Source organism: Homo sapiens, chromosome 17 (assembly GCF_000001405.40).
Source record: "Homo sapiens chromosome 17, GRCh38.p14 Primary Assembly".
Classification (NCBI taxonomy): Eukaryota; Metazoa; Chordata; class Mammalia; order Primates; family Hominidae; genus Homo; species Homo sapiens.
Genome location: NC_000017.11, coordinates 61384869 through 61409836, shown reverse-complemented (window position 1 = coordinate 61409836; position 24968 = coordinate 61384869). Strand labels below are relative to the sequence as shown.

At 60.7% G+C, this 24968-nt stretch overlaps 2 protein-coding genes and 1 long non-coding RNA gene across 12 annotated transcripts in view, besides 11 other annotated features; 1 reads left to right on the top strand and 2 right to left on the bottom strand.

The window, feature by feature from the left end:
• Positions 70 to 219: a silencer, noted in NCBI's record as "silent region_8798". NCBI's record gives its function as "represses an Ori minimal core promoter by ATAC-STARR-seq in GM12878 lymphoblastoid cells {active_cell/tissue: GM12878}" and the evidence as "EXISTENCE:reporter gene assay evidence [ECO:0000049][PMID:35858748]".
• Positions 230 to 279: a silencer, noted in NCBI's record as "silent region_8797". NCBI's record gives its function as "represses an Ori minimal core promoter by ATAC-STARR-seq in GM12878 lymphoblastoid cells {active_cell/tissue: GM12878}" and the evidence as "EXISTENCE:reporter gene assay evidence [ECO:0000049][PMID:35858748]".
• Positions 290 to 349: a silencer, noted in NCBI's record as "silent region_8796". NCBI's record gives its function as "represses an Ori minimal core promoter by ATAC-STARR-seq in GM12878 lymphoblastoid cells {active_cell/tissue: GM12878}" and the evidence as "EXISTENCE:reporter gene assay evidence [ECO:0000049][PMID:35858748]".
• TBX2 (T-box transcription factor 2) lies at positions 371 to 9994 on the bottom strand. The gene is made up of 7 exons (NM_005994.4): positions 9266 to 9994; positions 7886 to 8153; positions 6630 to 6776; positions 5340 to 5416; positions 5068 to 5231; positions 4001 to 4635; positions 371 to 1783 (listed from the first exon to the last, which is right to left on the bottom strand). Exons 1-7 carry the CDS (start codon positions 9658 to 9660, stop codon positions 1331 to 1333), a joined length of 2139 nt encoding a protein of 712 aa, NP_005985.3. The 5' UTR covers positions 9661 to 9994; the 3' UTR covers positions 371 to 1330.
• Positions 3532 to 4429: an enhancer, noted in NCBI's record as "H3K27ac-H3K4me1 hESC enhancer chr17:59482769-59483666 (GRCh37/hg19 assembly coordinates)". NCBI's record gives its function as "activates a minimal SCP1, AML or CMV promoter by ChIP-STARR-seq in naive H9 embryonic stem cells {active_cell/tissue: H9 hESC(naive)}" and the evidence as "EXISTENCE:reporter gene assay evidence [ECO:0000049][PMID:30033119]".
• Positions 9777 to 11037: a promoter, noted in NCBI's record as "-1096 to +165 promoter". NCBI's record gives the evidence for it as "EXISTENCE:reporter gene assay evidence [ECO:0000049][PMID:23727221]".
• Positions 9910 to 9921: a transcriptional cis regulatory region, noted in NCBI's record as "DPE (downstream core promoter element)". NCBI's record gives its function as "important for basal promoter activity" and the evidence as "EXISTENCE:deletion mutation evidence [ECO:0005510][PMID:18640248]".
• Positions 9910 to 10157: a promoter, noted in NCBI's record as "p216 promoter". NCBI's record gives the evidence for it as "EXISTENCE:reporter gene assay evidence [ECO:0000049][PMID:18640248]".
• Positions 10022 to 10050: a protein binding site, noted in NCBI's record as "CCAAT box". NCBI's record gives the evidence for it as "EXISTENCE:protein binding evidence [ECO:0000024][PMID:18640248]".
• Positions 10044 to 10070: a protein binding site, noted in NCBI's record as "Sp1 site". NCBI's record gives the evidence for it as "EXISTENCE:protein binding evidence [ECO:0000024][PMID:18640248]".
• Positions 10099 to 10128: a protein binding site, noted in NCBI's record as "T element". NCBI's record gives the evidence for it as "EXISTENCE:protein binding evidence [ECO:0000024][PMID:25371204]".
• Positions 10231 to 16381, top strand: TBX2-AS1 (TBX2 antisense RNA 1). 3 transcript variants are annotated; one of them, NR_125750.1, is made up of 3 exons: positions 10231 to 10598; positions 15099 to 15215; positions 16090 to 16381. It is a non-coding gene; the product is annotated as a TBX2 antisense RNA 1 (long non-coding RNA). The 3 variants fall into 3 exon arrangements; NR_125751.1 differs by lacking the exon at positions 15099 to 15215; NR_125749.1 differs by lacking the exon at positions 15099 to 15215 and having other exon boundaries at positions 10231 to 10800.
• Positions 12158 to 12709: an enhancer, noted in NCBI's record as "H3K27ac-H3K4me1 hESC enhancer chr17:59474489-59475040 (GRCh37/hg19 assembly coordinates)". NCBI's record gives its function as "activates a minimal SCP1, AML or CMV promoter by ChIP-STARR-seq in naive H9 embryonic stem cells {active_cell/tissue: H9 hESC(naive)}" and the evidence as "EXISTENCE:reporter gene assay evidence [ECO:0000049][PMID:30033119]".
• Positions 16382 to 17005: 624 nt separating the features above from the next.
• BCAS3 (BCAS3 microtubule associated cell migration factor) overlaps positions 17006 to 24968 on the bottom strand; it is a 714981-nt gene continuing 707018 nt past the window's right edge. For 6 of the 8 annotated variants that reach the window (NM_001353144.2, NM_001353145.2, NM_001330413.2 and 3 more), the window contains one exon: positions 17006 to 17860. In NM_001353144.2, the coding sequence (NP_001340073.1) occupies positions 17712 to 17860 (149 nt within the window). In that variant the 3' untranslated portion in view covers positions 17006 to 17711. Of the gene's footprint in view, positions 17861 to 21128; positions 21220 to 24968 lie in introns of all 8 variants that reach the window. The other 2 variants (NM_001353146.2, NM_001320470.3) reach the window with 1 other exon arrangement.

The window sequence follows — 24968 nt, the reverse complement described above, 5'->3', positions numbered from 1 at the left end:
ATTGAAAGGAGATGGGTTTCCAGTGTGGTTTCCCGGAAAGGGAGTCAGAAGCCAGGAGTCCAGGCCGCTCGGCTGCTCTCCTCCCGGCCCGGGTGGGTGCCCAGGCCCGTTGCGCGGAGCTGCGGGAGCGGCCGGCAGGGGGAGTCCAGCCCCGGCCTGGGACGCACCCCGCGTCCCGCGCCGGCGCCGCCCGGCCTCGCGGCTCCGCCAGCGCCCCAGCCGCCCTGCCGCCGTGCCGCCCTGCCGTCCCCGGGGTGCAGCTGCCGCCGGGCGAGGGGCGCGCAGCCTTTTGTCCCCGCCTCTCGTCCCTCCTTGCGCGCGTGCAGCGCCCCAGCCCCGCGCGACCCACAGAGCGCACAGCGCCGTTCACTTCGCTTTCTAGCGTTTTATTGTTTTCTTGCGTTTTTGTCGTTTCGTTCTCGCTCCGGAGCGAAAAGTGAAAACCTGAGGTGGAGCCCGCGGGCCGGGCGAGCCAAACCCGGGCGGAGGGGCCGAGGGGCCGAGGGGTCGAGGGGCCGGCGGGGTGGTGGCTCCTCCAGGGCTCTGGGCCTTCTCCCGCAGCCAAGGGCCCCCCCAGCCCTGTACAATATAGATGCTCACGTAAAATGAAAAAAACTTTAAATGTATGAGTTAATCTCTAAATATATGTACACAGCAATGTACACCTTTGAATAAATTAATACCAATTTGCATATTCTGGGAACCTTAAAGCTTATTTACACAAATTACCATTTATTTCATAAATATCTTTTTTTTTTTTCCCCTGGGGACTCAAGGCAGAAGTGCCACTCCCTCCGTTGACCACGGCTGGGAGGGGTGCCTGTCTCTTCAGGGAAGAGGTGGGGAGACTAACAGGTTCCCTCCCAGCTCAGGTCTACACTGACTTCAGTCGTAACTGGTTCCAGCATCCCTCAACCCAGTTTTATCACGCGGTCTAGGCCCAAGGTCCAGGGCTCTGGGACTCCCTCCGATGCTCCCACCCCTGGCCCCTGCACCTTCTGGCTTCTGCAGGGACCGCTGGGCCCTGGATGAGGCCTCTCCCACCTCGCTGGAAGACCAGAGACACCTTCGGATGCCACCTTGACGCTGGAGCGGATCTGGACCTAGCCCAGCAGCTCCCAAGTGACTGTGTTTCCAGCAGCCTGATCCTTGTTGAGGCCCAGGGAAGTGTCCCAGGCCCCGACTTGCCAGACGAGGCTCTATTCCGGCTGCTGCAGCCCACTTTTCTCCTTTATTTAAATAAATACTCATTCTGTGCTGTACACGTCCCAAGCAGCAGGGGCAGGCAGCCCGGGTGGCCTGCGTGGCAGGGGAGCAGCTGGGCAGCCCCTCACTTGGGCGACTCCCGGCCTGGGGAGAGGGCTCGCTGGCTCTCCAGCCCACTCACCAGTCTCTGGATGCTCTGCAGTTCATTGGCCGCCTCCTTGGCCGAGCCACTGGGCGACAGGGCACCGCGGGATGGGGCCCCTACTTTGCGGAGAGCCAGCTCGGGCAGGGGGCTAGGCTCCCGGCTGTTTCCACCAGCGGCCTTGGAGCCCTCAGAGGCCAGCCCGGTGGTGAGGAGGCTAGTGCTAGGCGGGATGGTGACCGGGATCTGATAGGGGCTGAAACGCAGTCGGGGCCGGGCACTGCCCAGGAAGGGGCTCCGGGAGAGGGAGCCGGCGGCTGCGGCGGCGGCAGCTGCAGCACTAGTGGCGGGCAAAGCCGAGGCGGCTGCGGCTGCTGCTGCCATGTAGGTGTAGGGGTAGGGGAAGAGGCCTCCGAAAGTGGGCATTGGAATTCCCTGGAAGAAACAGAACAAGACGAGGGTTAGACATCTTGCCTGAAGTCTTTCTGAAGTTGGGCTGGGTGCTATCCCCTGGACACCGTGCCCTTCTGTTTTAGGGATGTAAAACCACAATTCGCATAACTATAACCACAGGCAGCACAGGTAAGCATGAGCCAGTGTGCCTGTGGCCAAACCCAGTTAGAAGGGTGAGATCGCTTCAGGCTACCATGCAAAGGCCTGCCATCAAGTTCTGTGCTGGGCATTACAGCAGGGGTAATGGAAAGGACATTCCAGGTGACTGCCCTAGCACGGGTGAAGGCCTTGAGGGAGAAAACGGGGCAGGCATAGGGCCAGGTGGCAAACAGGCAGCTTTGGGTGTCTTGGAGGTTCTGCTCATTGAGAACAGTGTCCTCGCCACCCCTCCTATCTGCAGGCTCTGAAGGGCAGAGGGCACACATGCTGGGGAAGGCACTTTGCAAAGTCTCCTTCTGCCTGCTCATGGTTCTCCTGCCTGGGCCAGGAGGAGGACACGGGTGCCAACCAGTTCATAAACTGGCCTGAAAGTTCTACAGGGAATGCCTGGCAGCACCTCACTGGCAGCTGAGGAAGGAATGCAGTCTTTGCCTGTGAAGGGCACAGCAGCCAGGAACTCCTGGACAAGCACCTTCCTGAGTTCATGAGGTCTGGCTGGTGCACGGCCTGACCTTTGAGATAATGGCTTACTCCCCAGAGCTAGTGGGTATGGGGAGGAGGGCAGGGGGCTGATGATTGCACTGGGCTCCCAGGGAGCCTCAGGCCTGGCTCTAGCAGGAAGAAGAAAAGAGGCAGCTTCATCAGGCCTGAGAAAATACCCCCTCCTGAGACAGTCAGGTCCTACTGGGCATTTCAGACCTGGCATCCCAGGTTGGGAGGAAGGAGGGAGGCTTCAGTTCTCTTGGGATTTGGCTCTACCTGATGTCTGGGATGGGCTGCACTGGCCTGGGAATGTAACCACCAGCAGCCCTACCAACGGATGCCTCCCAGGTGCTGGTATTCTCACCCGGGTCATGCACCTGTTGGCCAGGCTGTGTCTAGAAGCCCTGACTTCCTCATGACCTCTGTGATGCTGGTGATTATTACCAGTTTGTCTGGGGAGGAGGCATTCATATACACAAATAATCAGGGGTGCAGATTAAACCTCTGGGCCCTGAACTTTCTCCAGAGGCTTCCCTTCCAGCCCAGAGCCCCAGATGAGTGATGGTGATACCTCAAACACTCCACACACCCTAACACTGAGCTGTGTGTAAAACTCATTTCAGAATCGCCTGCCTCCCAACCCCCCACCCCCCCACCCACCAACCCAACTTTTAAAATATTTGCTGCTGAAGCAAAGGAGCTTTCTCAGACCTGAACTGCTATTTTCCTTCCCTTGAGATAAGATCTCAGGGGTTCAATTTGCCAGAAACCTCAGAGGGAAGAAAATGAATGAAGAGATTCCAAATCTTTCCACAGGGAATATTCCACCCAAGCAACCAAAGAGGCCACTGTCCCCATCGGATCTCCTTACTGTGCCCCAGCCACATTTTCGTCAACACTCCCCTGGGAGCTTGGAATTTCAATGGGGCCTGAAGAGCTGAGTTCTCATCCCTGACATGTGGCTGGGGGTGCTGGGAACTCAAGGTAGGGGAAAGACCAGCCTTGTCCTTCACCAGGACAGAGGACTTCGTAGAAGGCCTGGGAGGGGCCAGAGACCTCTGGGAGGGCTGGTGGTCAACTGTCCAGAAAATAATGCAAATGTTCCTTCTCCCTTTGTCTGTCTGGCCACCTTAGCCTTTCAGAATGGACAGGGAGCCAAGGGTCTTTGTTCTCAAGAAAAATGTCCTGAGGCCAGGAGAGAAGACTTCACAAGCCAGGGGTGGCCCTGGTCTGTGAGGGTGAGAAGAGTCTCGATGGGCACCGCACTCCTCGCTGGGGCTATAGGGAAGGAAGCAGGCCCAGAGAGGGTCAGGGACTTGCCAAAGGTCACACGGGAGTCAGAAGCGGCGCCCTGGCCAGCCCCTGGACTTACAACACAGTCCTCGTCTCTCAGAACCCAGGTGTCCTAAAGGGCATCCCGGGGCCTCCCCTGGATGGAGTTCTTGCCTGCCAGAGGATCCCAGCGACCCTGGCACCCCTCAGGCCCTCCGCTGGCCTCGCCGCCAGCTCCCTGGGCCTTCTCCCTCGCTGGCGCTGCCGCGGGGTCACAGGCCTTACCTGAGATGCCAGCATGTGCTGGGAGAGGTGGAACGGGAAGGGCGCGGCGGTGCTTGCTGCGCTGGCCGCGGGACCCAGCCCGCCTGCGTCCAGCCCCGCGGCGGTCCCAGGCCCGCCACCTCCGCCGTTGCCGCCGCCTGCCACCGAGGCCAGTAGGTGACCCATGCCCATGGCGGAGAAGGCGCCAGGGCCCATGGTGAACTGTCCAGGGTGCAGGAAGAGCGGCTGGCCGGCTCCCAGCGGCCCAAAGAACTGCTGCCCGTGCAAGTGGCTGGAAAAGGCCAGGCCGGGCAGGTGTCCGGCGCCCAGGGGGGACGCACTGTCTGTCTGCACCACCAGCGGCGCCAGGCCCTGCTCCTTGCCCTCGGCCGCCTCCTTGCGCCCCTCGTCCTTCCTCCGAGCTTCGGCGCGCTCCTTCTCCAGGCTCCTCAGGCCGAACGGGCCGTCCCCGCCGCTCTCGGCCGGCTCCTTGCCCCTCTCGGGACTACGCCGCTCCCGGGCGCGCTCGGGTTCGGTCAAGCGAGTGGGGCTGGCGCTGTCTGGAGCCGGGCTGCGGCCTAGCGGCGCCCCCGCACGCTCCTCGCTCAACCGCTCAGGCTCCGGGTCGCTGTCCGCGGCGCACGACTTCTCCTCAGCTGCGGGGAGAGGGCGCGCGGATTACAGGGGCCTGGGCGGAGGCCGACGAGCAGGATCAGGGACACTCGGGAAGGGCTGCTCTCGGGGAGGCCGAGTCGGAGGAGCTGCTGGAGTCGGGCAAAGGGCAGCTGCAGGTCACCTAATCCAAGACCCCAGATTTACAGTGGAAGGAACCCAGCCCTGGAGAGGAAACCCTACAGCTATAGAATTACACGGCGCCCAAGGGGCCAGGCTCGGAGTCCGGCCGGATCTTCTGGCTACCGGGGACCGCCCTCGTAGGGGAGTCCCGGGACGGAAACCCCATCCCAGACACTCGCCGACGTTTCCTTCCTGGCCTTTCAGGTTAGCGGGTGGCTCAGCAAAAGACCAGCCCAGCGACCTGAGGACCCCCCGCCGCCACCTCCCTGTCCCTCCTCCGGTCCGACCCTCACCTCGGGCCCGGTGCAGGCGCAGCGGACTGGGCGCTGCGCCCGGGGAGGTGGGTGGTTCCCGCGCGGGGGGAGGGTCGCACGACGAGGCGTCTGACTCCGCGCCATCGCGCTCGGGTTTGCAGTGCTCCTCGTACAAGCGTAGAGACGGCAGCGTCAGCTGCTTCCTGGGGATGAGCGGATGAACCAGGTCAGCGGGGAGCCCATCCCTCCATCCCTCCTGCTCGCTGCTCCCGCGGGCACCCGCCACAGGGCTGCTGTCCTCGGCCTCTCACCTTTTCTCCCGCCGGCCGTTCCCGGTGTCCCGGAAGCCCTTGGCAAACGGGTTGTTGTCGATCTTCAGCTGTGTGATCTGCGGGGACCAAGGGGGCGGCGCTAAGTCAGGCCGTGGCTCTTCCAGCGTGGTCGGTGGCACCCCGAGGTCAGCGGGTGCTGGCCGCAGAGGGAAGACCCGGGGAGCGTCCACTTGGTACCCACCCGCCTGGGATGGGACGCCCCGAGCTGAGGCCGGTGGGAGGGCCTCGCGGAAAGCGACGGGGTCTGTCCTCCAAAAGCTTCATTCGAGGAATTATCCCTAGACAGGCCTAGACAGCCCCACACAGGCCTAAAGCAGTGCCACAGTGTCGGAACCAGCCCAAGCATGCACACCCGCCCGCGGGCTTGCGCAAGTTAAACGACTCCGCACCCGAGCAGGCGCGAACAGAGACTGCAGTTCACACGCAAGGCTGCAGGTACACACAAAGCCAAATCACACTCACGGGCTCGCACACACGCAAGTGTGCACAGACATAACAAACGCCTACGGAACCAAACGAATTCACATGCCTCCACAGGTATCCAACACACCCCAAACGGGGCACGCACAGCCCAGCGTACACCTTGGTTCACAAAGCCACAACGACCGGCACGGACACTCGTACCCTCTCTTTCACTCGACAGTGGCGCACAAGGGCACAGGCCTAGAGGGGTGATGCTCTGCCCCACTAGAACAAGGGTGGAGAAGCCGCAAGCAGAAAAAGCCCTTTGATTGGAAGGTAATTCTCTAAGCGCCTCCCAAGGGGTCTGGGGCCTAGACTGACCCAGAGCAGTAGCCAGGAGTGCTTTGGGGGGCTGTGTCACCTGTCCCACCCTCTGGCTCCCCCCGAGAGAGTGAAAACTGGGCCCCGGGTTCTGAGCATCGGTAGAGCCTGGGCAGATTGCCTCGGGCGCCCTCTCTTCACTTACATTCTCATTCCTGAGCCAAGAAATAAACGAATAAAATGTAAAAATGTCAGCGCGGGCCCGGAGTCTCAGCTAATTGTTAAGTAAACATCTCCATCAGAACGACGGCCCAGCTGTTCGCTCGCCCCAGGGGAGCCTGTGTGTGCGCGCGGTGGGATTGAGAGGGCGCCTTGAGGACTTCCGTGAGTGCTGCGCGTATGGATGCGAGGCTCGGTGCTCGGGGGCGGGCCGCAAGAGCGCGGATCCCGTGCAGGGGGCTTCGAGGGGCGATGAACGGACGGTTGGGCCTGCACGTGTTGAGGGGCGTCAGTGCAGGGGCTTAGCCCACCGCCCGCCGCGCGCACCTTGTCATTCTGGTAGGCAGTGACGGCGATGAAGTCGGTCTCCGGGAACACGTAGGTGCGGAAGGTGCTGTAAGGCAGCTTCAGGATGTCGTTGGCTCGCACTATGTGGAAGCGCGGCTGGTACTTGTGCATGGAGTTTAGGATGGTCTGCGGGGAGGGTGGGGGTCAGCCGGCAGCCACCAGCCCCGGCCCGAGCTTTTCTATTCTTTGGGTACCTGACCTCTTCCTCTCCACTTTCTCTCTCTCTCTCTCTCTCTCTCTCTCTCTCTCTCTCTCTATCGGTTCTTCCTCTTCCCCATTTTCTCCTGTCTCTGCTCTTTTCTCACCCTTATTTCTTTTTCTTCTACTTTTCCTCTCGCTTTTCTCTTTTCACAGCTTCTTTTTCTCTTGCCATTAAAAAAAATTTCCCAGTTGGAAACAGAAATGAGACAGAGCAAAAACAAAACAAAACAAAAAACAAAACAAAAAAACCAACCAAAAAACAACCCCTCCCCACAAAAGAAACCCAAACAAAATAAAACAAAACAGAGCCCTACAATTCCACTCTTAACACTCTCTTCCTTTCTGGCACTGGTAAACCCCCTAACCCCACAAAGAGGAGATTCCAACCTTCGGGGGCTCACCAACTGCCCTACCTCAGAATGGGCAGTTCCTTTTACCCTATGAAACACCACCCCCGTTCGCTGGGGCCTTGCTCAGGCATAAATGGAGAGAACCCCCAAACCCTCTCCTCCTAGTTGGGCATCTGCCTGTGGGAGGAGGGAAAGGTCTTAGGGAGGCTGGGGGGGTGGGTGGGGAGGGTGGTTTAACTTTTAAATCCCCTAGTCTTGGGGGAGGGCCAGGGACGCGGGTCTTGGCAGAAGGGTGATGGACAAGTTGAGGTCATGGGCAGGTCTTCCAAGCTCGGCACCTACAGGCCAAGAGCAGGGTGACCTCCGTGGTCCAGCACTGCAGACCCAGTCCTGGCAGCACCTGCCTCCCTATTGACGGTACAAGGGACCCTCCACGGCCTGAGGAACTGAGATTGTGAGCTGCCAGCCACTGACCCCACCATTTCCCAGGCTTGCAAAGGAGAGCGCTGGGGCCCAGGCCCAGGCCCAGCCCACGTAGACCACAGGGCAGTGACCCGGGCAGGGGCACTCTGGGGGTTTGCCCAGCGCTTCCCCCTGGGAGATCCTGCCGCCCTGCTCTCCTGCTCAGCTGCAGTGCTGGGTCAACAAGCTCCTGCACCGTCCCCACCCTGCCCCAACACTCACGAAGCCGTGCTTGTCAGAGATGTTGTTGGTCAGCTTCAGCTTGTGGAAGGCCACAGGCTTAGCCATCCACTGCTCCCCCGTGGCTGGGCTGTCTGGGTGGATGTACATGCGTTTGGGCATCTCAGGGTCGGCCTTGCCCGCCACCATCCAGCGCGAGTTGTGGAACTTATAGCGGCAATCGTCAGCGGCTACAATGTCCATCAGCAGGATATACTTGGCCTTCTTGTCCAGGCCGCTGACTCGCACCTTGAAGGGGGGGAACATCCGCCTGGGAGGGAGGGAAGGGAGGAGATCCCATTGGAACCGGCTGTTCTAGGTTCCAGGACCCCACTCCTCCTTTATTTATCCCTCCTCGTTGCGCACACCGCTGCCGCCTGGCTGTTTCCCCTGTGGTCGGCTGCTCTGCCCTCTCATCACTGCCCGGACGACCCCACCTGTGGTTGTTGCTCCCAGGAGATCCCATTTCTGCCTGTCAGACCCTCTCCTAAACAGCCTCCTTTAGGCCTTGTGCTCAGATCTGGGGACCCTCTTTCTCCCTGATCTGAGATGAAAGCTGATGCCCAGGAGAGAAGTCTAGGCCCTCTAGAAATATTCTCGCTTCTCCTTAATCTCCCCGAAATTCGTTCAGGGGAAATACCCACTTGGGACGGAAGCTCCCAGAAATAAATCTGGAGGGTGTTTGTATTGGGAACTGGGCTACAGAGCCTGATAAGACATCCTGGCCGTGCAGTTCGGGGGAAGAGGGTGAACCCGAGGCCTGGATTCTCGGTGGCTGAGTCGAAGGGTGGAGGGGCCGGGGCTGTGGCTTTCTTCAGGCTTTAAGGCCTGGGGCGGCGGATGCGTCCAGGGCTCGGATGCCCGCGGTGGAGAAAGGGCTCCCAGCCCGGTGAGGCGGAGGGCTCGGCTGACCCGGGGCTCGCTGCCAGGAACCGAGCAACCAGCGTGGGGTTAGCTGGGCCCAGGTCCCACTAGGGGCTTCGGGGTCGGAGCAGAGTCTGAGAGAGGCTGAATTTCCCCCGAGCTCGGAGACGGACCCGGACGCAGAAGAGCGAGAGCGCGGGGCGGAGGAGACCGCCAGGGCCAAGCCGCGGGGCCTCCTCTGCGCTGGGACTCAGAACGGTTGGGGCTATTCTTTAGCAGTATGTTTTCGTTTTATTTCATTCGGAGGATTTTAGCGTTTTTGTTTTAAAAAAAAATCGCTCCGGTGCCAAACGAGAAAAGTCAACTTGGTTGTCCGTGGGAGCGAAGCGTGGCGTCAGGGCCAGAACCTGGAGCCGGGAGCCGGGAGCCGGGAGTCCCCAGCTCTGCTCTGATCCGTGCAGTCCCGTGCCCCAGCCCGCCCGCCCGCCCGCGCGCCTTCCAGCCGGCCGGCAGCCCTACCTCCCGGACTTGGTGATGACCATCTCCGTGCCTAGCTTGTGGAACTGGTCCCACAGCTCCTTGGCCTCCAGCGTCACCTTGGGGTCGTCCTCCACCTCGTCCTCGGGCTCCAGGCTCTTGAGGGAGCGCAGATGCGCGGCGGGCGGGTGCGGGCCCAGTGCCGAGACGTGCAGCCCCGCCTCGGCCGCTGCTGCCGCCGCCGCCGCCGCGGCCGCCGCCCCCGCCAGGCCCGGGTCGGGCAGCGGCTTGGCCAGCGCGCCGGGCGGCAGCGCGAGTGCCGGGAAGAAGGAGGGCTGCGCCGCCGCCAGAAAGGCGGACATGGGGAAGTCGGCGGGCCGTGGCGCGTGGAACGGGTGGTAAGCCATGGCGCTGGCCGCCAGCGCCGGCTCTCTCATCGGGACATCCGGCCCAGGCGCCCGGGGGCCGGGGCCGGGGCCGGGGGCGCGCGGCTCGGACCCCCGGCCCGGGCGGCGGCGCGCGCGGTGGACGGACGACCCGGGTGGCGGGCGCAGCAGCTGCTCCTCGGGGCTTCCCGTCCGGCGCACCGCAAGGGGCACCCGGCTCTGTGCGCGGGGGCGGCGGGGGCTCTGCGCGGGGCCGGGCTGGGCCGGGCTGAGCTGGCCCGCTCCGGCGCCGGGGACCACGCGCGACTGGTTAGATCTTGTCGTGATCTCTGGAAAACTGTGACTATCTCACATGTCCTGCCCAGCTCGGATCCCCTGCGCTAACGAGCCAGGCCCCCCTTGATTGCTGATTTTACGCTTTTTGGACCAATTGTGGGTCTCCGGGGGCGGGGTTTTGACAGCTCAGGCCAAGCTCCGGCCGGGAGGGGGGGCCTGGGAGAAGGTGTCGGAAGCCTCAGCAGTAAGAAAACATGTCAACAGAATAAAATATTAACCAATGACGGGCCGCCGGGCCCCGAGACCCCTCCTCCTGCCCCGGCCCCCACCGCCCGCCCGCGCCTGCGGCTGCCTGCGCCGGACTGGAGAGCGCGGAGGGCCGACCTGACCCGCCGAAAGGGCCTGAGGCGAGGGGAGCCCGGGTCCCGGGGCCTTGGGGAAGGACCCGCAGCCGCACGCCGGCCCCAAGTGCAAAGCATTGACACGACCCCGAGCGGAGAGGGGGCGCCCTCCTTCTCCCGCGCCCAGAGGCCCGGCCGCTCTGGCCCGAGCCCCAGCCTGGCCTCCGACCCAGCTCCGGGTCGTGGCGCCGCCTGGGGGTCCCTGCGCCCCGGAAAGAGACAGCAGGCACTGGAAAGCGAGGCCGGTGGGCGGGCGAGTCGGGAGGCTCGGGCGGCCGAGGTCCGGGAGCGGATCCCAGGTGGCGGGAGCTGGTGAGTGGAGCCATGGCCGAGCCCTGCTGGGGCCGGCGCGGGCGGGAGCGGGACGCGGCCTTGCGCTGGGGAAACGCGGGGACCCCCTACCCGCGCCCGCCTTCACCGGAAGACTCGGAAGGAACCTGGAGTTCTCCGCAGGCCCGGGCCCCGCCCTGAGCTTTCCAGCGGCCGGGAGGAGCGGATCCTCGGGGCCAGGAAGGTGAGCGCACCTTTCGCTGAGCACAGGGCGGCACCGCGCGGGCGGACCCCGGATTCTCCACCCGCGACCCAACGAATTTTCGCCCTATCCGGTACCGGAGACGAAAGTCTCCTTCTTCCGAAATACCGGCTTCCTCTCTTCGCCCTGCCAACCACTTTTTTAGTTTCTTCTCATCTCTCGGAAGCGCACGTCTCCTAAGTTAAGGAGTGCTGAGTAACGCGTGAGGGAGTTGGGGTGTCTGCGAGCACCTGTGATTGAAGCCCCCTCTTCTGTGATCAGTCTTCGTTTTCTGTCTTCCGGCAGCCTCAGTTTCCCCCCCATGAAGTGATGGTGTGTGTGTGTGTGTGTGTGTGTGTGTGTGTGTGTGTGTGTGTGTCGGGCCCCGTGTGGTGCCCTCTGTGCGCAGCGAGAGCTATAACTCAAGGTGTGCACGGGGAGAGTGAAGCGACCACGCACCTGCTTCCAATCGGGCTCGGGCGCGAACACTCAGGCTGATTCCTGAAGGTCGTTTTCTGAAGGAAAAGACAGAGCATGCACTAGCCACGGGTGACATTCCCACCCGTACAACCGCGTGGTGGGCGCGTACATCCAACATTGACCCATGCAGGCGCCCGCCCACTGCGCACACCGGTCGCAGGGCACTTCGTTGTTGAACGTTGGGAGCAGCGTTTGAAGGCCGGATCTCTCCTGGCAGTGCGGATTCGGGACCGGCGGAAGCAGTATGGCCTCTGCGACCGTTATCCCTACTTTTCGGGGCCGACCCCAGGGCCCTCACAACTCCTCATCACCGCATATGTGAGCGCCGCCCCCACAGGGTTTTCTCCACGACCTCGTTCTTGGCTAGGTCGCACCTCTCTTAGTACCTCCTCTCTGGCCAGAACGAATCTTTGACTCCGAGCTGCGCAGTCTACGCAGACGGGGCAGGATCCACTGCAGTTTTCCACAGGCAAATACCTGCTGGCTCCACCTTAGGCGAGATGTGGCCTCTCGGGGAGGGACCCGTTGTGGACACGTTTGCGCAGCCGGTGAGGTGACCAGATAATAACCAGGGCAGCTTTCCTTAGCCGGGAACCCAGGTACCGGCCTAGGAATCCGTGAATACATTCGCAAAGTCGCGCGCGCGCGCGCGCGCGTGTGTGTGTGTGTGTGTGTGTGTGTGTGTGTAGACACATACTTTTGTCCTTGTAAGAGTATGTGTACATCTAAATGTGTGCGTTTTAGACATTAGTCCATTTCATTAGTCCATCCATAGCTGGTCCAGGGGTCCGAGGCCTGAAGAGTTTGAAACACTCAGGCCTGGGTTATTTGACCGAGAAACCTGGCGGCGACAGTGCAGCGGCTGCATCTGGGGACGGCGACCCCACCTACAGTGGCACCGACCTTCCCTCTGGCTTTCCGGGGCTCTGTCCGGGCCAGGATCCCACCACTCGCCCCGCCCCGCGGTCCCGCGATCACCCTGAGGTCCTGCTGCAGCCGCTCTGAAGAGTCTGTAGCGACCCCCAGCCAAACTCTCCAGCTAGGAATGCCCGAGGCTCACCGAAAGCTGGCGCTGGGGAGGCCTGGGAGGCCCTGGAGCGGCGCCGTGAGGCCTCCGCTGGGCCCCTCCCCCACCTAGGCCGGCCCCCTCCCCCTTCCCAGGAACCCCCTCCCCTGGCGGAGCCCCGGGGGCCGAGTGTGCGTGTTCCTTTAAGAGGCCCCGGGGGGCGCCTCGCGGGCCGCCCGGGGCTGGAGGGGGAGGGCGCGGGCGGGGGCGGCTGGCGCCAGGCGGCCGAGGCTCCACAACAAAGCTCCGGCCCCTGTCACTTCGCATCGGCCAGGTCCCGCAGACAGGCGGGGGACGCGCGCTCGGCCGCCCCTCCCTCTCGCAGGCGGTCTCCGGCCAGGGCGTCGGGCGGGCTTGGGCTGGTGGCGCGCGGTCTGTGCGCCCCGCGCTTCCCGCAACAGTGAAATGGGGCGGGAGCGGGGACGGCCTGGGCCGGGTGGGGCCGCGGTCCTGAGCCTGGCGTGGCTGCCCTTCCGTCCTCCGGCCCCGTCACCTCTCGCAGGGTTAAGGGGCACTGCTGGGACCTTCCCCGGGTTGAGCCTCCAGGTGGCAGGGGGTCCCCGCCGCTTCCTCCTCTGTGTGCAGGGCCGGGGTTGCGTGACCCCGCGGGCAGTGGGCAGCAGGAAGCTCGGGCTGTGCGGCCGCGTGGCAGAGCGGACGACGGACTTGCGTCCGAGTGACGGGGCGCGGGCTGCAGACTGGCTTAAGCCCTCGGTGGCAGACGAATGTGCCCAGGCTAAGCTCAGGGGACGTGTGTGGCCCCGTGCTATGGGCCCGCTGTGAGGGTGCCGCCAGGCCGTCGATCACTGCCTGGACGTGAGGAGTGTGGTGGTGAAGGACACTCCCTGGACAGAGTCGCTTCCCATCACGGCTTCCCCGCCGGACCGCACCTCCCGGAGCCCTGGCGCCAGCCAGCCCGGTTTAGCGGCCGGACCGGGCTCCCCCGCGGTCCCAGGTCTGGTTGGGGTGGGGGCCGCGGCCTCGGTGACCCCAGCCCGCAGCGGCCCGGCCCGTCCCGTCCACTTAAACAAATTGCCGCTGACAGGCGCGCAGTCTCTCTGGAGCCGCCGCCCTCCCGTCGCCTCCCTCCCGTCCCAATTATCCCGCGCAGGGTGGGGCCAACTGGCTGGGATGGGGCGGGGGACGCGGGGAGAGCGGGCGGCTCGACTCCCTCCTGGTCGCGGGGTGGCCCGGGGAAGCGTCTCCGCAGCCACGGCCTGTGTGGCCCCGTCCCTGGTCTTCCCGGGGGATGCGAGGGCAAGGCCCAGCCTGGCAGCTGTGGGCCCTGGAAGGGCGTCGTTCTGCACCTAAGGGCGAGATCACGCGGCCGAGAACCAAGGCCGCATCCCGGATGGACTTCGGGTGACTTTCCCGGAGTTCTGGGGAATCCCCTAACCCGGGGAGCTGCAGACGACTCACTGGCCCCGGGCCGCGGTTCCGCGGGTGGCCGCTGTACGCTTGAGACACCTGGTCCGCAGAAGTCAGGTGCACGTCTGTGCACCGTCGTGCGTTGGATGTGCATGGAGGCGAGATCGTGGTTATGGATGTCTGGGATCACGGGAGCGTGAACGGGGCGATCGACTGAGTGACTTGAGAGACGGGGTAGAGCGCAGGAAGGACCCCTAGGACGGGCCCACCTGCGACGGGCGGCGGTGGGGGAGTGGGGGGCTTGCCGGCGCGTTCACAGGCTCTGGGTTCGCGTTCGGAAACGCTTTCGCAGGGAGCGGGTCGGGATTCCCCGGAGCAGCACGGTGACGGCGTGCCACAATCCGGGCTCCAGCTGTGCCGCCTCCGCCCTCCCCATCCCTGCTAAGGGGCACCTGGCCTGGCTGTCAACTTCCCCTCGAACCATGGGTTTGCCTTGTGGACCCGCAGCTTCCCCTCTGCCTGCTTCTGCTCTGTCGCGCCTTCGGAAGGGCATGCTGCTCTCTCCCCTCCACTCCCTCCTTTACACATGAGGACCCTGAATCCCAGAGGTGCAGTCATGTACCCAAGGCCACGTACCTGCTGGTGGCAGAGCTGGGATGGGACCCTGGGACCTTAAAGAGAGCAAGTCCAAACCCACTCCTAAGAAGCCGGTGCTGCTGAGCTGCCTACCCCTGCTCCTACAGCAAGGTGATCCTGAGATGCCAGGGCTGCCACCCTCCCCTGGGCTCTTGCTCTGAATTCGAGACATACAGGATGCACTGTCCCTTTGCCTCTAGAGCCTCCAGTTCTAGGTCTGCAGTGGGAGGGCTGCCTTCCAGCTACACAGGGGCAAGGGAGCAGCTGCAAATTCAGTCTCTCAGCCCAGGCAGGAAGCCTGATGGAGTCAGGATGGGGATCAGTGGGGTCAGCATTCTGGATGGGATAGGGGCACAGGACAGGGAGGTCAGTTCGGATTTGGGTCCCTCTAAGGGAACTGGCCAGGGTGTGAAGCAGCCAGGTGCAGACAGGGATAGGCTCACTAGGCGTGTGACTTTGTGACCTTGGGCAAGGCCCTGCCCTTCTCTGGGGCTCAGGCTTGCTTGTCATCTGCAAAAAAAATGAGGCTCGAACAGAACTCTCAGGTACTTTCTAGTTTCATGAGTCCCTGAATTGTGAAAATAAAAAATTACCACTGAGAAACCATATACACTTCCAGACTGGTGGCTGCCTAGCCTGGCCTCTGCTCCTTGACAGAGGGGCTGGCCCTGGTGTTTGAGCTTGTGTGCTTGAATTGGCCTCAGGCCCACCGTGCCTTTTCTCATCTCAGACAGTACTCTTGCTCCTTCAGTTGCCACGCTGGCTCCCACCGGCCTCTTTCCAGATCATGAAGGTATTTTTCCTTCATCAAATTGAGAGGAAGTCCGTAGTAAAGCTGCCCGTTGACCAGGTAGTGCCGAGAGAATCGGTAGGTCACATGGATTCCTAAAGGTCCCCTGATCAGCCACAGTTTGATTCATGTTCTGATGCCCTCCCAGATGATGCCACCATTAGGTCTGCTGGGGCTGGGGGTGAGTCCCAGATTGCCCTGGATGTTATCTGTAGAGGATAGGAAGCGGCTGCTCTGGGGCCAGTGGCCAGTAAGGTCCCCAACCCTGGGGCCCAGCTCTCCCTTCCAGCTGATTACAGGCTATGGCAGGCTCCATAACCTCCCCAATTAGCCGGAGGCCAGGCCCAAGGCCTTTCTGATAACCTGAGCTCCAGTGGCAGCCGCTGTGGGGCCAGCTTATCTGGTCTCTCTTATCCTCACCCTTCCCCCACATACTCAAAGAGTTGCCCTGACTTCAAGCAGATGAATAACCAGATTGTCCTGCAAGCTCAGCCGGCAAGTCCAGCCCTACACCCACCACTTTCCCTGCCTGGGGGAGGCCACAGCTGTTTTGCCCCTGCTGGAGGGGAAGGGCCGGGCCAGGGAGGACTCCTGACTCTGTAAGCTGCCAGCCAGTTCCCTGAATGGTTGAGAGAGCCCCTGGCAGCAAGGTCTCTGCCACATCCACGTGTCCTGGGGTGGTTTCAGAGGGGCTCATGCTTCCTAGGGCAGCTGAACCCATCCCCAGGAAGACAGGCCATGGGCAGCATGCACAGGTAGCCTGGTAGCACTCTCCTCCTTGTCCCTTTTTGATTGAAACATGGCTGTAGCTGGGGGTAGGGGCAGTGCCAGGCCCATCAATAATTCAGCAAGATGGGGAAAAGCTGCAGCTCCTCCAGCACCCCCTGCTGCTGGGGCCAGGCTAGTGTTCGCAAGCATGCCTCAGTCTGGCATGTGACTTCTCGCCCTGCAGGTGCCCTGGCAGGAGGGACTGGCTTATGCCACCCTGTGCAGGATCGTCTTCTCAGCTTACAGAGCCTAGTGTGATTCAACAACCCTCCATCTCTGCCCCCAACATGCCCAACTGATCTGGTGGAGGGAACTGAAGATGAAGGCCTCTCAGGCACCATGGATGGGATGGGTGTGTGTGAAGGGGGCAGGGTCCCCAGGAGCTGCCCCAGGTCTGGCTGGACAGTTGCACGGGAAGTCCTGTTTGTGAACTCAACGTTTCCACGGCTTTTCCATTAAACTTTACCCCAAATCACACCTGGCTCTGTGGGTTTCCTTCCATTCTCCAAGGCCTCCCTGGGGTCTCTGGGAAGTGTGGGCCAGGGAAGGGGGCAAAGGACTAGCATTCGTCTCCTTCCTGCTCAATGCACCATTTTTTCTCCCTGTTCCTGTCTCTGTTGCCACTTACTTTAGGTCCGGAAGTGGTGGTGGTGGGGCGGGGGGACAAAATCAGGAACGTGTCATCTGAGGGTTCCGGCCAGGTTTCATGAGATACCCACCTTCACCTGACCACCCTTCCATCTTCTGAGTTAAAAAGAGGCAATTACAACAAGGTGCCCCCCAGATGAGGCTTTGCCAGACTCTCCCCTTGACAGCAACCCACCAGCACATGGCAAGCCCTGATCCCCAGGGAGGAGGGTCCAACCCTGTGGCACCCCAAGAACTCATTGCCTCTGGTAACAGGCAAGATGCTTAGAGAATGGGCTTCTTAAATCAGGCCCCATCCAAATTCCAGGACAAAAGTTCTTCCCATTCCAATCCTCCACTGACTCCTTCTGCCCCCAAGTTGCACATGAAAGGGGGTGTTGGGATCCTGGGCACTCAGGCCATAGGACTCTGCTCAGCATTTGGAGAGGACCCTTACCCCAGCAACTCAGGGATGGACACCAACTGCAGCGTGATTTATTGGACAAGACGTGCACTTTTCAACAGGGCCTCAGTAACCACGGTTTCCTTCACTGATCAGTACAGGACCAGGGTAAAGGGGCTTAAAGATAAGAAAGACAAACTCTTCCCATGAACAGATGGGGAAAGAAAGGAGGAAGAAGAGGCATGTCCTCCCTTCCTCCTTCCCTAGTACTCTGGGCCTCCGTTCACCCCGTGCTGGAGTGGGGCTGACCAAGGGAAGCTGGGGGCAGTGTGTGTCACAGCCAGACATGAGCTGAGGCTGTGACTGTCCACTCAGGGTCAAAATGGCCAGGTGGACGATCAACTCTGTCCCCACTCAGGCCCCCAGATCTGGTCACTGTTCCAGGCTCCCCCCACCCGCCCCACCGTGGGTATGGTTAAAAAATACAAAAGCGGATCCAATGCAGGATGTCATATGCAAACATACACAGGGACCGAGCTTCTACAGTCTCTCCTGGCCACAGCCTCCACCGACAGGTGTGGCAGAGGGCAAGTGCGCTGAGGTGCTTGGAGAAGGGTCTCTTCTCCATCCAGGTAGGATGGGCGGCTGCTGTCACTAAGCTTGGGGAAGGTGGTTGATGAAGGAAGAGCAGAGACTGAAGGGTAGGACCAGAGCGGGGCTTCTCCCCTCCTCCAGCAGGGGAGGGGGCTGGCCAGTCAGAAGCAGGTTGCTGGTACCTACGGGAAGCCAGTCGGGAAGAGGCTGAGGGGCTGGCTCTCATTGGTGGGCAGCGGAGATCGGTAGCCATCAAAGTTTCTTGGTATGCTGCCGCTGGTGGAGCCTGAGCTGTTACTCAGAGTCTCGATGCTTCCCTCTCGCTGAAGTTCTGCAAGACACAGGAGAGGGCCAGGCCTGGTTAGAGTTGGGTCTGGGGAGTGGGGGCACCATCTGGGCCAGGCTGCCTGCCTTGAGGCACCATTCTGGGTTCACTTGTGTCCTTCCGCAGGGGGATCCCCGCCTGCTCCCTGGATGGGCAGGGGGCAGCTCAGGTCACAGGAAGGCTCAGCCAGGGGAGGGAAAGCCCCCTGGCTGGCAGACTCTGGTGTGAGAGCACCGTCTCCCTGCTGCGGGAAGCCCTTTAGGCCCGAAGCACGGCCACCCTGACGATGTGTGTGGACTACACAGCTCTTCATGAGCCCGTACCCACGCCTGCACACACTCATGCTCAGCCAGCATGCCCCCAACTCCACAGTGCCTTCTGTCCCGGCTCTACAGGGGAGGCAGGCGGGGAGAAGCTAGGACACGGGAGGGCTTGCAGCATCCCTGCCTGATCTGTCCCCACCTCTCTCCTGCCCTGCCTGTGCCTAGAGCTTCTGCCTGGCTTTGCCACTCACTCATTCACTCATGCTCACCCACACAGTCCATCTGCTGGCCAGGTCTTGGCTCATCTTTGGCACCTCCTGCCAAGTGTCCTGTTTCCCTGGGAGGGGATGCCTGGTTTGAGAGGGGCCTGCTCCAATGAAGAGAGGGTCCCTGTCTGCCTGAAGTGCCTCCTTTCTCCTTTCCTCTTAGGCCCCAAGTCTCCTGGAGGCCCCTCAGCATCAACCTGAAGGGCAGGCAGGGAGTCCCGCCCTCCTCCTCCTCTGCCTCCCTGGCCCTGCACATCCATGTTGCCACCTCAGATATGGCAGCTTGATCCATCTAATTCAGCTGTGGGCCGCTCAATTGTCCTACCATCTCTTGACCCAAGTCAGGTCCTGGGGTAGGTGGGTTGGGAATGGAATTCCCTGCTTGCTGAGTGCAAGGAAGAACCAATTACTTCTTGGCTTTTTGAAGGTGGTCAGTTCCGATTCCCTTTCAGTCTCCCCCGGGGGCTCTGACATATGGGCACACACACACCGGGCAGTCTCTGGAGCCTGCCCCAAGCCAAGATATGTAGACCTGCAACCTTTCCTTCTCCAAGGGATGCCTGCCTGTGACTGAAGGAGTCTGGCCTGTCCACCCAGGAGTGCAGGACCTCAAAGCAGTCACTTGAAACAGCAAGATGTGCAAAAACGTTGCACTCGTCTGGTCTGGCTTGAGACCTTGGTCTTCATCCTGCAACCGCTCCCAGGCCCCCTGCCACCACACGCGCAGTACAGCCGGCTCTGGTTAGGGAATGAAGGGGTCATGGCCTTCACTCCTGGGCTGGCCAACACCAGCCAGCCAGCAACGAACCACTGACCCCGACTCCCTGCAGGCCTGCAGCAGCCACAGAGTGGAGTGGGGAGGAGGCGGGCACCTGGGCCTGGGGAGGGGAGGGGCCCTTGGGATCCATCAGCCGAGTCTGTCGCCGGGGTCTCGGTGGGACAGTTCACTGGGACACCAGGGCTTCTTGGCAAATTGGGGAAAGTAGGGGGATGGGACTGTGGACAGGGACCGAGGGCCTGACTATGGTCCCTGACCTCCAGGGGACATTGGCTGCCTGGGAAAGTCAAGAGCTATCTGGATATGGATAGAAAACAAGGCAGATAGGATCTTTTTCTCCTGCTCCTCCTTCAGTATCACCCTAATCTGGGGGGACAGGCCATCGTGCCATGAGATGGAGAGGGTGGTAAAGCCAAGAGTAGACCCTGGGGATTTTACATGGAAGCTCCAGACTCCAAGAGACCCCTCTGTTGCCTTATTTCCCCAAAAGCAAGCCGAGGAGTTGTGGGCGATCTGTCCCACCGCCCTCATGCGCGGCCGGCCCGGCACTAGGGGGCGCTGACAGCAGGGCCAGGCGGGCGGGAGAAGAGCACCGGCAGGCGCAAGAAAAGCAGGGGCTTCCTTAGGATCGGGCCGCCAGGCCTAAGGAAGAAAGCCCCCGAGGAAGGAGCAGGCAGGGCCACCAGGATGGGGAAGGCTGGCCCCTTTTTACAGCTCAGGGGCAGCTTTAACGGCCTTGATGCAAAATGCCTCCACATCCACACTGCCAAGGAAGCCAGGAAACGGGAGCCCGGGCCCAGGCATGGCACCCCCACCGTCCCTTGGCATAGGCCCCCAGCAAATACCCCAGCAGCCTCGGTGGTCCCACCAATGAGTCTTCGTGGATGCACCCCAGCCCATCACACCACAGTGCAGGGAAAGCCACCCAGGGGCTTACAAGATGAATGTCCTGTTCTTGGGGGCCAGGGACAACCTGAGCGCCTTGCTCGCATTTTCCCTTTGCCAGTTAGACCCGGGTAAGAAGGATGGGGGCAGCGTTCTCCCTCGCCCCCGCATCCCAGGGTAAGGTAACCAAGGCTCTGCTGAACTTCTCCCTCCTCTGCCTCTGCCCTGGCTAAGCCTGCCCTGTGCGCCTCAGTCTCCTGACTCCAGGTCACCCACCCTGTGCCAAAGCCAGAGTGGGCTATGTACAGCACAGCCCTCATCTTGCTTTTCCTCTGCGTAAAAGCCTTCAGCCACTCCTAACAGTTCCCAGGGCAAGGTCTGAACTCCCCAGCACTGTGAAATGGCCCTCCATGACCTGCCGCCAACCCCTCACTAGTGATACCCGTTATTATGTCTGAGACACAAAAGTGATGAAGCTGTGTGGTGTTTGGACCCATCCAGGTGGTTCTAGGCCTCTGGGCCTGTGTTCATGTAACTTGCTCTACAAAGCCCCAGAACACCTACTCATCTTCCAAAGCTTAGCACGAGTGTCCACTCCTCTGTGAGCCCGTCCTGTCCCCCGAGCAGAGCCTGCCAGACCCTACCCTGCGCTGTGCTGACTCCTAGCCCAGGCCCCCTCATCGTCCCATGTGTCTCATCTAGGGGAGACCCCCTCGGGGGGGTTCTGTGCCTTAACTCTGTATCCCTAGTGGCCTGGAAAATCATGGGTGCCCTAAACATTTCTAGCATGAATGAATGAATGAATGAATGAATGAATGAATGAATGAATGATGTGGTAAGGGGAGGTGGGGGCCCATTCTTCAACACAGACTAACTGAAAGAATCGGGGGCCTGCTGGCCCCGGGGCAGCTTTGTGGGCGCTTTTCTCCACGCCTCCTCTCAGACCCCTTCTGCTCCTCCCCCTGCAGGCAGGGGTGTGTGTGGGAAGTGGAGGGGAGGAGGGCTGCTCAGATTCCCCCCTCCAAGTCATCCCGGCCGCCCAGCCCTACGAGCAAGCGGCAAATGGAAACGTGTGGCCTTACCTTCCTCCATCCCGAACGCATGCTTTGTTACTGTTGGGTTGCTCACGGACGCTGGGCTGTTGGCATTGTTTTTTTTTTCCTTTTTTTTTCCCTTTTGAAAAGAAAAGCATTGAGGAATCTTTTTGGAAAAGATATGGACAACGATTGAGAAGTACACTGATCTCTGCAAGCAGGTGGAGAGGTGTCAGGAGGCGCAGGGGCACACCGTGAGGAGGGGGAGTTTGCAGTCAAGGAGGACAGTGACATGCATGTGTAGGGGCTGGGGACCAATCTGTCTTGGGGGTCCCAGAGATGGATCTGCTGTGACAGAGGGGGCCAAGACCCCGTTCAGAGTGGGGGAGGGGGAGAGGAGTCACAGGTTCAACATGAAGAACAGTTTTAGGAAGTGGGAGGGCTGGGGACCTACGGCCCATGCAGTGCCAGATGGGACCCCATGCAGGTGGGTTGCTGGAGGAGGACAGGGAAACAGACTGCAGTTTTCAGGGATGCCCTTGGACCTTCTGACTCAGTGGCCCAACTCCTGGCTGCTGCCCTCCTCCCCCACTCCCAAGACCTCCAGGTCTGAGCAGCTGTCCTGCGGTTGAGGTGGACCTGTTGGGGAAGTCCATCAGGAACCTGCCAGGGCCCGAAAGAGAGTGCTGGGGGCTCTGTGGCAGGAAATGAGGGAAGTGTCCCCAGCCACCTCCCCCCTTAGAGGTGTGGAGATTCTGGTCAGTGGGAGAAGCTTTAAAAGAGCTTGTTCTCCAGGCCCCAAAGTAGGGCAGGAGAGGAGGAGTGGCTTCCAGGCAAGTGGCTAGACCCAGTCACCTCATTGTGACCTTGCACTCTCCAGGGATGTGGTCCCCTGGGTGGTGGGAGCTATATACCCACATTGCAGAGAGCAAAACCAAGGAAGACGAAGCAACCACTAGCTCTGGTTCTTCACCTCCCACCCCCATCCCCCAAGAAAGAACGGGTGCTGGTGCGGGCCACAGGGTGCTGGCAGCTCCGGCATCACTAAGACCGGCCCCCATGCCCATGCTGGAGAGCCATTCCCTGTTGGCTCATATTGGAAATGGGCCTGTTACCCGCAGCTGCCCCTCTATGCCTTGGGCCAGGATGGACAGCCCCCAGGGGTAGGGGGATGATGAATGAGTAGCAACTGAAGGAAAGGTGCCTCCGCTCTCATGAAACAAGTGAAGGATGAGACAGCCGGATCCTTGGCACTACTGTTCTCAGGGTGAAAAAAAAGCAAGCTGGATCCTCATGCTGCCCCACTCCATATGGAGCCCATCCAAACTCAGAGGTGTCAGAGGGGGCAGAAAGAGGGGACTGGCCTTTTTAGAGAGAAGCAACCCTGGTCACTTGGGAGCGTGTGCCCAGGGAGATGGGGTGGGGTGGGGTCACTCTTTGTCTGTGAGGAGGCAAGGGCATGGCTGCCCACACCTTGTCCTACTCCTGAGCTGGGCCGTGCAGCATGGGCCCATGCACCTCCACCCACAGTGCAGTGTTGTGGCCCCTTTGCCAGGCTGTGAGTTGACGGGCAGCAGACTCCCCGGGAGGGGTGAAATGCGGAGGGCACAGGGCCTGTGTGAGACGCAGGGAAAGCTGGAGAGGCCAAACCAGGGGCCCCAGCAGTAGGTCGGAGGTGAAGTCGGGCCAGGTGCAGTGGCTCACACCTGTAATCCCACACTTTGGGAAGCCAAGGCAAGGGGATCACTTGAAGCCAAGAGTTCAAGACCATCTTGGGCAATACAGCAAAACCGTGTCCAAAAATTAAAAGATTAGCCAGGTGTGGTAGCACGTGCCTGTAATCCCAGCTACTCAGGAGGCTGAGGCAGGAAGATCCCTTGAGCCCAGGTGTTCCAGGCTGCAGTGGGCTATGATTGTGCCACTACACTCCAGCCTGGCATCTCAAAAAAAAAAAAAAAAACAAAAAACAAAAACAAAAAAAAACAGTAAGGAAATCCTGCTTTGGGCTTGGTGTTCTCTGGGTCTCTTCCAACCTGGACGTCTGGCCAATCAAAGGCCCTGCGAAAAGCTCCTCTGGCTTCGGAAGTGGGGGCATTGAGCCCTAGTCTCAGGGACCTGAGAGGGGCCAGGGAGGACAGTGCTCTGTTTGTGTTTAGGAAGAGGCTGCCTGGGGCCCCTGGTTCACCCTTTGGGCAGCTCTGGCACTTCCGTCACCACAAAAGGAGCAGCGTCCACGGCTCTGTACATGAGCATTGATGCTGCCCACTGAAGGGATTGGCAGAGCACTGTGACTGGGCCCTGGCTGCATTTCTCCACCCACGCTGACTGGTGGGAGTAGGATGAGACCTTAGGGTCCAGTCTGACCCTGCACCCACAGCTCTGCCTGCTTCCAGCAGTGAGCAGGAGGATGAGGATGTTTCCCCTGGCCAGTCCAGCCCCCAGCCTCAAGAGAACCCGAGAAGGCAGAGGGGCAGTGTCTGCCCATGTTGGTGGAGGCGTTTAGGGAAGTGGTTAAGAGCACACCCCCTGGCCACCTGCTACCTGGGAGACTTTGGGAAAGTTACTCGAATCTTTGTGCCTCAGGTTCCCGAACATGAGGTTAACGATGTCTGTGTCATGGCCTGGTTCTAAGAATGAAATTAAATAATGCATGTAGAGTGCATCACAAAGTGCTTAACGCTTCCAGTCAGCAAATGTGAGTTACTATTATTGCTGCAATCGGATTAGTCATTGTGATGATCCACAGGACTACAGGGTCCCTCTCCAGCCTCCCTCCCCAGCAGGTGTCTCTGCCATCCAGGCCCTCACCAGCTTGGCTTCCACCGGAGCTTGGGAAGGATTCTTTCTTTTTAATCAAGAAATGGCCCAGGGAGGAAGATGGCAGATGTGTGTTTACAGCTTTTCATTTCCCTCCTCGCCTCTTTGCAAATACCCTCTTCCAAAATGGAAAATAAATTTCCAACCCTGTTGACATGCATCGATTTTTCCCTCCTGCATCCACCTCTCAGCTCTCCCACATCAGCAGGGACTGTGGTTAAGACCCTTGCTGGGGCTGGGTTCCGGGGTGGCCCAGGGGAGCGGATGGCTTCGCGGCACACAGCAGCCAGCCGAGCTGCCCGCGCTTGCCCAGTGCCTGGCTTTGAGAAGGTTTGCAACCAACAGCTTCAGTACCTTCTGCCTGGGGGTTCCTGAATGGGCAGTGAGGTACGTAGTAGGGGAGGTCCTCTCATTAGGAGGTCGGGCATTTTCTGCATTTTCCCTTGATGGGACATGTGAAGAGGAGACCAGCGGGTCACGTGACTGCTCTAAGTTCAGCAAATGAACCATATGGGGTCTGCCCCAAGCGATCAACTTGGTCAGCAAGGGGCCTGCACCCAGGGCCCTTATGTCCTGCAAACAGGACCAGCTATGCAAAATGGGGCTTGGAGAGAGAGAGAGACTAAGTGGAAGGAAGACTTGAGCAAATTGTGTGGGGTTGAGCAGGGCTGGCAGCCTCCTGGTGCTGGCGCTGGCACCTGGAGAGGTGGTGGCCCAGGCAGACATGGCTCCAGGCTGCTTGTCTTACACCAGTCCTGTGCCTGAAAACAACTGCTGTCTCTTCCAGAGCGTGGCTGAGGAGGCGGGGGCCTGTTCCGTGAGACAGAGATGGAGTTGGCTGAGATTGGCTCTAAGCCCCTGACAGCCTTGTCAGAGACCACACTCTGGGATGGAGCCAGCCTCAGCCCCCAGGGCACTTTTTAGGAGGTGAAAAGTGCAGCAGTTAAAGGCAGCCCTGCTTCCCACCACACTGAGCATACACCCACCTCCCAGGCTGCCTGGCTCCCCTGCGCTTTCCCTCTTCCCCAGGCTTCACCCTGCAGTGTGGGGCTCCCCTCCCCACCAGGTTCC